Raw genomic sequence first — 13820 nt, forward strand, 5'->3', positions numbered from 1 at the left:
GGAGGGCAGGGCTTGGCCCGGATGCACCTCTGCGGTAAGCAGGGACTGGCGGGGTGGCTCGGAGAAAGAGCAGATGCAGTAGCAGGACACAGTGCCCGGAAGGCAGAACAATGAGGCTGCCCCTGCCTCCGGTGATGGCTGTGGGACCGGGAATGAAGATCCTGTTGCTTCTGTCCCACCTTCTCCTGTGACGCGTCTCCCTGCGGCAGCGCCGCGCTGAGGTGCCACACTGCTGGTTCCAACACCGCAGCCGCCACCGCCGCCGCCATTTTCGTGGCGGATGAGGGCCCGTGGCTGCCCTTCATGGCTGCTGTGCCGGCGAAGAGGCATTCTGACCTCCAGGGCTGCCGCAGGCCTCACCATGTCCTTGGATGTGTGATGCCCTACGGGGACAGCCAGGCCGCTGTGGGGCCACCCCCGAAGGCCACTGGCCACTCCGACGAGCACCCGGCCCAGACCAAGAGCCCTGCAAACAACCGTCATAGGAAGCGGCCAGGCCGCAACCAGGCTGTCGCAGCTCAGAGGCCTCCAGGGCGGGGTCTGTTTCCTCGGCCTTTGCAGCCATCTTCTCCAGGGTCCCAGCCTAGCAGCCGTTGCGGTTCCCGGGCTTCTGTGTCGAGTCAGGCAACGCAGCCAGGCCCTGCACTCCTCAGCCATGCATCTGGGCCAAGCCATGCATCTGGGCCAAGCCCTGCTCGCCGAAGCAGCATCGTTCTGCCAGGTCCTGCTCTCCGCAGACGTGCATCTGGTTCAGGCCCTGCCATCCGACGCTGCACCACCCAGTCAGGCCCTGCTCTTCCACGCCGCGCCACTCATCCAGGCCCAGCTCGCCGAGGCCGTGCACCCGCGCCGGGCTCTGATCTCCGCAGCCATGCCTGACTGGGTGGCCTTAACGCCAGGTTCTCCCTCAGAGAGCAGGAATGCGGCTGCTAGTCAAAATACATGTATTTTTTAAAGACCTACAAATGTGTCTACAGTTCAGGGCACCATTTTCTTGGTTTCAGTCAGAACATTTCTTTAATTAAGGCATAGATAATTGGATGTTTTTCATTTAGGCAGTCACGTCTAGACCCCCAGAGCCCCATCACAGAGGTTGGCACAGATGTAAAATGTGATAGCATGTACCTATTAACAATGGGTAAACATTGGAAGGGCCTAATGAACTATTCCTTTCCCTAATCATATCTCTCAAGTGTCACAAACCTCATGCACTCAAATACTCTCTATAATTTCCAGATGTGGTAGATAAATATGGCAAAAGTCTTGCTCTTTGTGACATTGCCTGCATCAAATGAGTAGCGACTCAATCCTTTTTATTTCAGCATAGCTACATAATGATGTCATCTTCATTTGATTTCTAATGTCTCCTCTTTGTTCCTTTTGTTTGCATTGCCTGTATCTTTACTTGTCCCTTTATTTTCAACCAGTTAACTTTGTTGTCAGTGTGCTTTCTAGCACGTATAAATAAATATTTTGCTGATTAGCACAATATGTGCCATGATAGTCAGAGGTGAAGCCAGCTGGACTTCCTGGGTCAAGTGGGGACTTGGAGAACTTCTGTCTAGCTAAAGGATTGTAAACACACCAATGAGCACTCTGTAAAAACACACCAATCAGCGCTGTGTGTCTAGCTAAAGGATTGTAAACGCACCAATCAGCACTCTATAAAAACGCCCTAATCAGCACTCTGTGTCTAGCTAAAGGATTGTAAGTGCACCAATCAGCACGCTGTAAAAATGCACCAATCAGCACTCTGTGTCTAGCTAAAGGATTGTAAACGCACCAATCAGCACTCTGTAAAATGGACCAATCAGCAGGACATGGGAGGGGACAAATAAATGAATAGAAGTTGGCCACCCCAGACAGCAGCAGCAACCCATCGGGGAGCCCCTTCCATGCTGTGGGGGCTTTGTTCTTTCGCTCTTCACAATAAGTCTTGCTGCTGCTCACTCTTTGGGTCTGCACCACCTTTAAGAGCTGTAAAATTCACCACGAAGGTCTGCAGCTTCATTCTTGAAGTCAGTGAGACCATGAACTCACTGGAAGGAAGAAACTCCAGACACATCTAAAGGAACAAACTCCAGACACACCATCTTTAAGAGCTGTAACACTCACCGCGAAGGTCCGCGGCTTCATGGCTTCATTCTTGAAGTCAGCAAGACCAAGAACCCACCGGAAGGAACCAACTCAGGACACAATAGGAGTAATCAGAACATTAATATGTAGAATGTTAACTTCTGTGTTTTTGATTTCTGCATAGGGGAGAGCCATTCTCATAATTATTTACATAATGGAAGATTCTGTCTTATAGTTCTTAAGGACTAGATTCTCTTTTTGAACTTTAAAAAGTGAGGTTTCAGGTTGTGAGACGGCCTGTGAAAGAGTCATCTGCCAGGGAACTACAGGCAGCCTCCAGGAGCTAAGAGCAGCCAGCGAGAAAGCAGGGACCTCGGTTCTGCAACTGCAAGGAACTGAATTCTGCCAACAATTGCATAGTTTTAGAAGAGAACACTGTGCTCTAGAAAGAAGTAATGCCTGATAGAGACATGTGTTGCAGCCCTGCAACTCTCTGAGCAGAGGGACCAGCTAAGGCGCACCAGGACTCTCTGACTCACAAAAGCTAGAAGATAATCAATAGATGCTGTTCTGAAACAACAGAAGCTTATTTCTCACAGTTCCGGAGACTACGAGTCAAAGATCAAGAGACTAGCATATTTGGAGTCTGGTGAAGGTCCACTTCCTGGTTCAGAGATGGTGCCTCCTCCCTGTCATCACATGGTGTAAGGGGAGAGCTGGTTTCTTGGGATTCCTTTTATAAGGGCACCAATCCCATTTATGAGGGTAGGCCTAAGCACATGCCAAAGGCCCCACCTCTTAATCCCTTACCTCCTAATACCTAATACTTCCTAATGCCCAATCATCTTGAGGATTACAATTTCAATATGTAAATTTTAGGGAACATAATTAGAACATAATATGATTATTTTTCATAAACTTTATTCTTCTTTACTCTTAATGCTCCACCTGTTTAAAGATTTTGTCAGTTTCCTCTGGTAGTTCTGTGTCACTAGGTCTGAATTTTGACGACTACACCTGAGATCTTCTCTGTGTGTTATTCTTTCCCATAGATAAATTTTCAGTTTCTTGTTCAGCTTATTTTTTACTAAACTCAGGTTTTAGGAGAGTACTAAAGAACACATTTCCATAGACAGGAAAGAAATCTAGTATTTATTTGCATGGCCATGTGATATATAAAGTGTGGCAGGCTCTGCTTCCTTCTCTCTGGTCTGCTGCTTCTCTTTCAGATGCTAAGGTTTAGCCTGACCCTGAGGTTATTACACTCCTAGCCATTCTTGAGTCAGAAATTCCCAGTACACACGAGAATAAAAAACCTTTATGGAAATGAGGCTGTTATGTATACAACTTTGAGCATCAAGCTCTTCCCAGGATCCCACCTTTCTGACTGTTCTCCACGATTTTCTGTAGCCAAGAAGGTAGAAATTGTGCACAAATCCCTCTTGCTGAGATGCAGAGCAAGGCCGTGGTTTCACTTACATGAAGTTGCCACATCTCAGGAGCCCTTTGGCCCATAGGAATCCAACATCATGGAGCTGGCAGGAGAGCAGAAGGGAAGCCAAAAGCTGTGTTTCCTACACCCAGAATTCCCCCATTTCCCTTGTCACTTCCATTCCATCTCCTTCTCTTAAGACCCTTCTATACCTTCCTACATTAGCTTGGGGTATGCCCCTTGGGAATTTCCAAAAGACATGCTTTAAGAGTGAACTTTAATAGTTTAATGCTAAAAATAAAAATAAAGACATGGTAAAAAATAAGACAAAGTAAGAAACAGGCCCTGTAAACATGGACAGCACTTTTTAAAAATCTAATTAGCATTTTCTTTTTAAATACCAATATTAAAAATGTTATAATTTTAGATACAGCACTTCTAGATAGAACAAAAATATCACATGAAAAATAATCAGTATTTTACAATCTGGAGAGCTAGTTATTATCTTTACATTAACTGAGAAGGGATAATTCAGTTAAACCTTTTGTTTTGTTGTTGAAACGGGTCTCGCTCTGTCACTCAGGCTGGAGTGCAGTGGTGCCATCTGGGCTCACTGTAACTTCTGCCTCCCGAGTTCAAGTGATTCTCCCCTCTCATCCTCCTGAGTAGCTGGGATTACAGGTGTGCACCACCACACCCAGGTAATTTTTGTATTTTTAGTAGAGACAGGGTTTCACCACGCTGGTCTTAAACTCCCGGCCTCAAGTGATCCACCCACCTCAGCCTCCCAAAGTGCTGGGATTACAGGCATGAGCCACCACACCTGGCCTGTTAAACCATTTTTTAAGTTCATTTATTATCATTTGCCTTCATCCTTTAAAAGACAAGTATTAATTACCCTCTTATGGAATGACAATAAAATCTAACATGTTCTTTGTTTTCCCCTTAATATAGAATATCTTAATGCATCAAACTCTATTCAAGTAGATTCAGGAGACATGCAGTCTTTAAAACTGTAGTTCTCTTCTCACATGAAATTAACGTGCACACAGACACACATGCACAGAGTGGGAAGAATATTTCAGAAAGCATACCTTTAATCATTTCATATTGGATTTATCATTTTAACGTATTTAATAATATTTGAAAGATAACTTTAGATCTTAAACCAATTTATGTTTTCATCATACTTATGCAATGAAAATACACGTAATTTATAATTTATACAATTTATAGTAGAAGTCATAATTAAAATGCTGTTAGAATTTATTTATAAATTGTTGATTTTAATCATCAATTTAAACGCTCTCCTCCCTCAACACCTAGTTTTGCCACCTACATGCACGCTCATTCCAGCTATTCTAAAAAATTTTAAGAAGAATTAAAAGAAAATACTTTCATTTATACACCTGAATCTCCGTTGTTATATAAAGTCATTACAGTATTAGTAAAATGCTTTAGTGATAAAGATAAGTAATGATCTGAACTTGATTATTTTGAAAAGATAAGCACAAATTCATTAAGCCTATGACATTTAATGATGTTGTGTTCCTCTTCTTCTAACAATTTGAAAAATATATTTTTATCTGTCTAAAAAATATAAATGAACATTAAACCCACTATTAATTTAAATTTAAACTAATATCCCCTGATCTTGAAGAATTAAGCAAATATGTAAACAGACCATTGTTTCTTTTGAAAGGATCTATCAATCGCCATAACATACTTACTCTTTAACATAATGAATTAGAAATCAAACTTAGCATCTTATCTTTAGTGTTCCTCTGTGTAAATAATTTTAAAAAGCTATTAAAATGTGGGAGAATAAAGAGTGAGGATTCACTTTATTCATTTCAGACTAAACCATATAAACTAAATTTTGAACTAATTTTGGATTTATATTTGTAGAAGACAGTGCAAATGACAGATCAAACAGTGATGCACCTAATCTGTGTTTCTGCCAGTATGACCTTAAGAGGGACATGGCTTGCAAGCATAGGAGAATCTGATGGGTGCTTTCCTGAGGTGATTATGGAAATGTTGTGTATAAATAAATAATCAGTACATATATTTATAAAGACTTCTAATCAGAGACTATAGCATGTGTGATTGCAATCATATTCTATTTATTAAGACTTGTTTATGACAATGAGACGTGTTTTATAGCTAAGAGTTTTTATTCCAAAGAAGGTTTTTCACATTATTTTTTTCTTAATTCATTTAATAGTATTGTTCAAACTGATTGCTTTATTTTATTAGATTTGCAGACTGGGGACTTTATTCTTTATCTAAGTACTAATACTGCTTACTTGTTCAAAAGCAAAATATTAAATGCAGCCCTGTACAATTTAGGACATGAATTTAAAAAATAATGCAATCTAAAGGCAAAAAGTGATATTCTCTTAAAAGGCCCCAGTAGTAACATAACAGCTGAAAGTAGCAACAATTCTGGTTCTAGTTAAGCTCATCTCATAAGCAAAATTACTTTGTGAACATCTATACTCTAACATAAACCAGACTAAAAATATTTTTAATATACAGCTGTAACTTAACAATAAGATAACTTTTCTAAAAATGAGTTTATAATCCTCTATTTCTTCACGATGTTCAAAAATCTTCAATCACCCTATTCAAAAACTCGGAAAATGCCATAGTGTATCAAAGAAATATTAATTTATCAACTTATCTGAGACTGTCTACTGCTTAACTCTTCATGAAATTGCAAAGTTTCATCTTAAAATATAATCTGTTTTTAACATCTGTAGAATAACATGCCACTTTGAGTGATAGTTGCTAGACTCGGTAAATACTAAAACAATATTGGGAAATGTTACCTAATAAGATAGTGTTCTATAAGCAGAATTTTGAGTGTGCAACATGGAAGGTCTGTTTAGAAGTCCATATATTAAGTTAATGATGCTACAGCTTTTGGCCCATTTATGGAGCCCTTGTCAGGAGTTGAAACATAGAGCCTGGCGGCCTCTAACAGACTGGTCTGCTTACAACTTGCAATGAACTGGTAAAGGATAGACTAGAAGAGGAAACTTTGAGTGTATTATATATTTTGCAGAATCACCTATTTCCTTCTTTTTGTTTACTTTTATCATCTTTAAATGAGAATAAATCCCCATTAAAAAGAATGTGAGAAGACAGAAGGTAATTGCTATGGTTTGAATGTATCCCCCCGAAAAGCATGTGCCAGAAACTTGATCCCCAATGGAACCACGTTGGGAGGTGGGGCCTAATGAGAGGTACTTAGGCCATGAGAAAGGAGTGAATAGATTGATGCTATTATCTTTGGAGTGGATTCATTATAAAAGGGGAAATTTGCCCCCCTCCCTTTACACACACCCATTCTCTCTCTCTCTCTCCCCCCCCCCTTCTTCTCTCTTTCTCTTTCTTCCTTTCTTGCCCTTCCACCACCCACCATGGGATGATACAGCAAGAAGGCCCTCACCAGATGCTGGGCCCTGTTTCTTAGGCTAGCCAGCCTCCAGAATTGCAAGAAATAAATTTTTGTTCTTTATAAATTACTCAATCTTACTTCTGTTTCTTATAAATTACTCAATCTTTGGTATTCTATTACAGTAGCACAAAGTGGACTAAGGCAATAACTGTATATACTCAACAAAGGTTATTTGTATGGAAGCGAATATGTTCTTAAGACAGAAACTTCAGTAAAATTAAAATGTTATGGGGCATGATGCTAGTTTTTCTTCTCATATTTATACAATGAGAATAAGTTATTACATGCTGCAAAATATATTTGGAAAGCAATATATGTGTTGTTACATGATGCACTCTTATTCTGGGCCAAGAAAACTTACCCACCCCATTGGTTTGACCACATGACTTCCTTTGACCAGTGGAATTTTATTTTGAAAAATATTAACTGAGGCTTTTAATGAATTCAGCCAGTTTAACTTACTACTTGCCATCTGGTGAACCTACCTGAGAAGAGAATGTCCAAGTGGCCTGGAGCCTGGGCTTCTGCAATAGGAATACTAATGGTCCCCCAAAGTCATCTATGCCCTAGTCTTAAGAATATGTGAATATGTTATCTTTCATGACCAAAAAAAAAAAAATTGCAGATGTGATTAAGTTAAAAATCTTTGATTATGTGGATGGACTCAGTGTAATCACAATGTTTATAAAAAAAAGAAATAGAGAGAAAAGGGACGTGATGACAGAAGCAGAGATTGGTGTGACACTAAGAAAGGGCTACTAAGCAAGGAAGGTGGGTAGACTTTAGAGACTGGAAAAGATAGGAAAGCACATTCTCCCTTAGAGACTCTAGAAATAACACAGCCCTATCAACACTTAGCTTTTAAACCTCTTACTGCCATAACTATCAGATAATACATTTGCATTCGTTTAAATCCATGTGTATGGTAATTTGTTTTTTGTTTGTTTGTTTGTTTGTTTGTTTTTGAGACGGAGTCTCCACTCTGTCACCCAGGCTGGAGTGCAGTCATGTCATCTTGGTTCACTGCAACCTCCGCCTCCGGGGTTCAAGTGATTCTCTTGCCTCAACCTCCTGAGTAGTTGGGATTACAGGCATGCGCCACCACACCCAGCTAATTTTGTGTGTGTGTGTGTGTATTTTTAGTAGATACAGGGTTTCACCATGTTGGTCAGGCTGGTCTCGAATTCCTGACGTTGTGATCCACCCGCCTCAGCCTCCCAAAGTGCTGGGATTACAGGCGTGAGCCACCATGCCTGGCTGTAATTTGTTAGAGCAACAATAGGAAACTAACAAAGCATCCACGAACACATAAGACAAGACCTGAACCCAAGAGCCTGGGCCTAGGTCTGCCAGATTTTGGTCTAAAAGAGATCCTAGATGAACCGAAAAGTTTATTTCTGAAGTTGAAATTCTCTCTTTCTCTCTTTGGCTTTCTATTTGAAAAAAAAAAAAAAAAAAAAAACTCTCTCTATATAAACATATATATATATGTATTTTTCCGGTTTTAACAAAAACATTGGATTATAGACAGGTACATAACACACAGATTCTATTACAAACTTGCTGGCAGCATTACTTAATACCACATCTTGTACATCATTACATCATTTCATATCTGCTTATATAGATATATTTGTTCTCTTTAAGTCTCCATGTTATTAAACACCAAATTACATAGCCAGTAGCCAGATGAGGAATTAAATTTAGTCTAACTGTCCTTACCATATAATAAGAGAAAATAGAATGTTGATATAACTTAAACATGTTATAATTGAGGAAAGTTTGGATTAAAAACTAATTGTTCAGAATTTGTTAATTACAAATACACATAAATGCTAATTAATGACTAATTATCAGCACTACATCTGGCCTTAGTGGTGATGATTAAAATTTAGACGATAATTCACACTTAACTGAGAATTATATAAATTTTTTTATTAATTAGGCTAAACTTTTTTTCTGTACTTATAGAAACAGAGAAGTAGAATTTATATGTTGGGAAAAAAGGATTATTTTTGTACTATTGGTTATGCCATATGTTAAAAAGATGAGTAATTTTTAAACTTTGAATTGTGTTTATTTTGAATATCAATATAGACTATAAAGCATATATGTTAGCTAATTCAAGAGAATGTAGGTAATTTCATTTAAAAGATAATTAAATACATACTTATCATTTAAGATTACAAATTAATCTTTTAAGTCATCTGAGTTGTTAGTTTTATTTTTGCCCAAATCATAGAAAAAGTTGATAAGCATTTAAAATTCAGAGCTATACTCAATATTTGTTAGTAATCTAATATTCCGATTTGGGATGAATAGAAAAATACTTAGAGAAATTGTTAGATTAATATACTAAAAATGTATGAAACAGCGCCTCAATTTGACAGTTTCGTGGCACTGTAACTATATTGAAGCTGTACGTTTATTTTAATTGTTTTCCTGAGGGAAAAGGATATGTATGAGCCTATCTCTTTGCACCTGTCTGTCTATCTACTTATCTGTTTATCTATCTACCAAATTTTTGTTAGAGAAACTAAATGCTAAAATCATTTTACAGGAAATAAGAATGGCAGAAATGTGAAGAGTTATTGTGTGGGGAAGTGGCCTCTACATAGAAATGTTTTTCCACTGAATGTTCCTGTTGTGCTGATGAACAAAGGAGTTCATCACAGGCCAGAAACTAAGATAGATAGATAAATAAATAAATAAATAAATAAGTAATAAATAAATAAATAACCTCTAGTGCTTTTTTGTATAACGGTGATGTAACTTTCTCCCTTCACAACATAAGGATATCAAGGTTGTTCTGTCTATAGCTCTCCCACAACCACATCCCCAGATGTCCAGAGGTAACGACTTTGGTTCAGGGAATGCCCTGGGGATGGCATTCAACCAGGATAGTGTTAAACACCAAGTGATATTTTGACATGCCAACATTTCTTGAGTTACTGCAAAATATGAGTAAAGTACTATCACATGTTAATGGGCTGTGAGGACTAACTGGCTTGGATCTGGGTTTGAGTCCTTTGAGATTATCAGGTAAGTAATAACTATGTCAGGAGGGGCTGAGGACTCCATGTGATTCTAATGAAGATCAATATTGCTTGCCATGGCCCATTGATAGGGACAGGGGGCAGAGAAATTCTAGGCAGACAGGGGCAAAGCCCCACCTTCAAGCTGAAGCCTGAGATCGCAGCCCAAAGTGAGAACTTAGATCTCTATTTCCCTGCTCAAATGCTGTCTTTTCCTAAATCACCCATGACACTACCCCACCCCATCCTTTGCCTGTAAAGATCCCAGAAAACCTGCAGAGAGAAGCAGCAGCTGGACCTCGGGATGACTATGGCTGGACGTCAGGAGAGAAGCAGTTTGACTTCAGAGGGACAGCTTGATGGTGTAACTTCAGAGAAGAATCTGGTTAGAGATGGCTAGACTCCAGGAAAAGATTACCTACCCTTCCCCTACCCTTTTCTCAGCTCCCCTTCCCACTGAGAGCCACTTTCACCGCAATAAAATCCCCCACATGCACTATCCTTCAATTCATTTGTGCAACCTCATTTTTCCTGGATATCGGAAAAGAACTCGGGAGCCACGAGCGCAGATACAAAAGGGCCCACTGAGCTGTTAACACTTAAGCTGTATACAGACGGAAGAGCAAAAAGAGCACTTTGACATGGCCACTGGGACTTCCGGAGTCACAGACAACTCCCCGCCCCCAGCCTCCAGACGCTGCCCCTGGGCCGCATGGATGCTCCTACTGACCCGAAAGTGCTCACCCCCGTTCCTGCACCCATTCATCTGTGTGCTCCCTCCTGTGCGGGGTGAAGTACAGCAGGTCTGAGTGAGTGGAGTTTACTCCTGCTGGCGCCCAAGCAGCCGGCTCCTTTCAATGCTTGTGTACTCCACCAGTTCCTGCCTTGTTTGCTCACATGCTTCCTCCTGCGAGGAGCTGAGAGTGGCAGGCTGAGTAAACGGGGCAGTCCTGTCTCGAGTCCCACGAAGGGGTCAGGGAAATATCGTGCTTCACCATGACTAGGTCCACTCATCCTGCTTTAGGCAAAAGACCTCTTCCATTTTGGCAAATTTTCTAAAATGAGCTCCTGTGTTTGAGGATCACTGTCTGTTAAATTTCTGTCCTTCTCTCTACTCCCACAATCCACTGGAGTTCTGTCCCACATCAACTTCATCCCTCTCTCCCTGTGATTTGTTTGCAAAAATGATTTTCTTCCTATTCTTTTTGGGCACAACTTGATAGGTTATTATACCCAATGCTCTAATTATTAGTAGTTTTTAAAAAGTGACATTTTTTTTTTCTTGGAGTGGAGGAAGGGTTTAAACCCCGGACATCTCAAAATATGTGGGGACAATATGGGCTTACCATTATTCTAATGAAGTACAGAACAATTATACAAAGAAACAAGAAAAGTCCGTTGATCATCAGTTTTGTTACATTTAGTTTTAAGTGTGAATGACATAGAGGAATATTTTCTAACAAATTTCAGAGTTGCTGTTGTTAGATATTCATAAAACGAAATTTGGCTATTAGAGATTAGCAGTCCAATTAAGCAGTTTGCTGTTGACTAGAAAGTCTATCCACCAAGTTAAATTCCTAAGTCCCATAGCAAATGGTCATGGTCAGAAAGTTGGAACTTCCCTAGTTTGAAAGATGAATATTTGCTATTTTTTTGTCTTGATTGTGTGTATTAATCACTTTACTTATGTTTGTTTAATTGTTTTTTGAGACGGAGTCTTGCTCTGTCGCCAGGTTGAAGTGCAGTGGCACGATGTTGGCTCAATGCAACCTCCGCCTCTCGGGTTCAAGCAATTCTCCTGCTTCAGCCTCCCGAGTTGCTAGGACCACAGGCATGCGCCACCACGCCCCGCTATTTTTTGTATTTTTAGTAGAGACAAGGTTTCACCATGTTAGCCAGGATGGTCTCGATCTCCTGACCTCCTGATCCACCTGCCTCGGCCTCTCAAAGTGCTGGGATTACAGGCGTGAGCCACCGCGCCTGGCCTACTTTTGTTTTTAAATGATAAATTATTTTTACCCTTATTATTACAGAGATGATTACATAATTCTCAAAGTGTTATCCTATATTAGTTACACTTGAAGACATAGTCTCTTATAAGTAGATGCAACTAAAATATAGTTACATATAACTTGGAATCAATGTAGCTATAGTAAAATATTTTTGTAATATTTAGTAAAATTCAATATTGCTTTAAATATGTCAATTATATGTTATTTAATATTTTAAATCATTTAATTTAAATTATTAGATTTTAATTCTTTGGTAAAATTATTACCTAAGAATTTGATATAATTTCTTAACAGCACATTTGCTGAAACTAGTTTATGTTTGCTTCTCTCTAATTCTTTGCTATCTTTTATTCCTTTTGCTCTGTAAAGTAAAAATTGTGCCCCATGGAATTTATGTTATTGTATTTTTTTGCTTTCCAAAACTCAAAAAATAGTTTGAAGATGAATTTAAAATAACATAATGAGATTAGAATAACATAATCCACAAAAAGGAAAGCCCAGCCACCTAAACATATAATTGTCCATTGGAACCTAGAGATGTGAGAGATGCCACCTCTTCCTAGGCCATGACTTCATTGCCTGGTATGCATTATATATTGCTGTTCAGGAATCATCGAAAGGCAGACAGTGCTCTGCAGTCTCCAGAAACCTCCATAAAATGCATAATGTCGGTCAAGAAACTCATCCAACTGATATGCAGTGTTTGTGAGTTATGTGAAAATAGTACGAAATAGCTAAAATTGGCTACTTAAGACTGGAAATCCAGCAAAGGTCTTTATGAACTTGATAATTTTTTTTTTGATTGTGGGTTTTAACCTATGAAGTTCGTTGCTGCTAATGGAATTTCCCAAATGATACCAACAACAAACTCAGTCAATGAAAATAGATTCTGGTTCATCTGGGGGGTATGCAAGTAGTTTTGATTATTTATAATAGTAATCATAATTGTAATAATAATAGGGTAAACTTAATATTTCAGGCATTTTTATTTGTGTATTACTGGGTTTATATCTTCTCTGCATTTCAATTATCAGAATAAATATAAAAAATATTTCAGTTGTACACGGTTGAGTCAACCCATAAATCATTGTTAGAGTGGCTTTCTACATTTTAATCAGTGCACTAACTCATATTTAATGAAAAAATATGTATAAATAGAAAAGAAGAAATTATGTGCATAATACTTTCTTGTGTTCAGAACTTTCAGGCATTGGAAAGCATGTTTATAAAATATAGGTCATGTACACATAAACATTTTATTATATCACAATCGTTGATACATAGCATGAAATTAGCCAAATGATAATAAAACAGTTAATGCTCCACTTTACAAATTAACAGTGATTTCTAATGGATTTTGCTATTCCAATAGTCTTGTTTTTAGTGCTTTTCTTTAGCAGTTAGAAAGCAAACATGATTATAGGAAAGCCCAACTTATTAGCTCCCTTAGGAAATTAATACCTGCTTTATAGAGAAAAGTACATTAACCCTCTAAGTTTCTTGGCAGTCAAAGAAATATTTTCATATGGGTATTATGAATAAAACAATTATATTCTATAATTCTTAAACTTTTTTTGAAAGAGTGACATTTTACAAAAGTAGAAGAATACATAATTTTATAATTTTCACTACAACACAATTCCTTTAAAAAATTAAATTTTATGAACTAGTTCTAGTTTAAATTCTCATAATATATTGATTTTTAATGTTTTTCCTGACAGGACACATAACTCAGTGGTTTTGTACATCTCCAAAGACAATGACCTACTTTTGAAGAAATAGTGGTCTTCTCAGATAAA

At 38.7% G+C, this 13820-nt stretch overlaps 1 long non-coding RNA gene and 1 pseudogene across 1 annotated transcript in view, besides 2 other annotated features; both read left to right on the forward strand.

The window, feature by feature from the left end:
• Positions 1 to 10514, forward strand: part of LINC01194 (long intergenic non-protein coding RNA 1194) — a 230327-nt gene extending 219813 nt beyond the window's left edge. The window contains exon 4 of the long non-coding RNA NR_033383.1: positions 10271 to 10514. This is a non-coding gene — a long non-coding RNA (long intergenic non-protein coding RNA 1194). The remainder of the gene's footprint in view (positions 1 to 10270) is intronic.
• On the forward strand, positions 62 to 867 carry LOC100420683 (EZH inhibitory protein pseudogene; annotated as a pseudogene).
• Positions 10228 to 10729: an enhancer, noted in NCBI's record as "H3K4me1 hESC enhancer chr5:12805009-12805510 (GRCh37/hg19 assembly coordinates)". NCBI's record gives its function as "activates a minimal SCP1, AML or CMV promoter by ChIP-STARR-seq in naive H9 embryonic stem cells {active_cell/tissue: H9 hESC(naive)}" and the evidence as "EXISTENCE:reporter gene assay evidence [ECO:0000049][PMID:30033119]".
• Positions 10730 to 11229: an enhancer, noted in NCBI's record as "H3K4me1 hESC enhancer chr5:12805511-12806010 (GRCh37/hg19 assembly coordinates)". NCBI's record gives its function as "activates a minimal SCP1, AML or CMV promoter by ChIP-STARR-seq in naive H9 embryonic stem cells {active_cell/tissue: H9 hESC(naive)}" and the evidence as "EXISTENCE:reporter gene assay evidence [ECO:0000049][PMID:30033119]".

This window comes from Homo sapiens, chromosome 5 (assembly GCF_000001405.40).
Source record: "Homo sapiens chromosome 5, GRCh38.p14 Primary Assembly".
Lineage (NCBI taxonomy): Eukaryota > Metazoa > Chordata > Mammalia > Primates > Hominidae > Homo > Homo sapiens.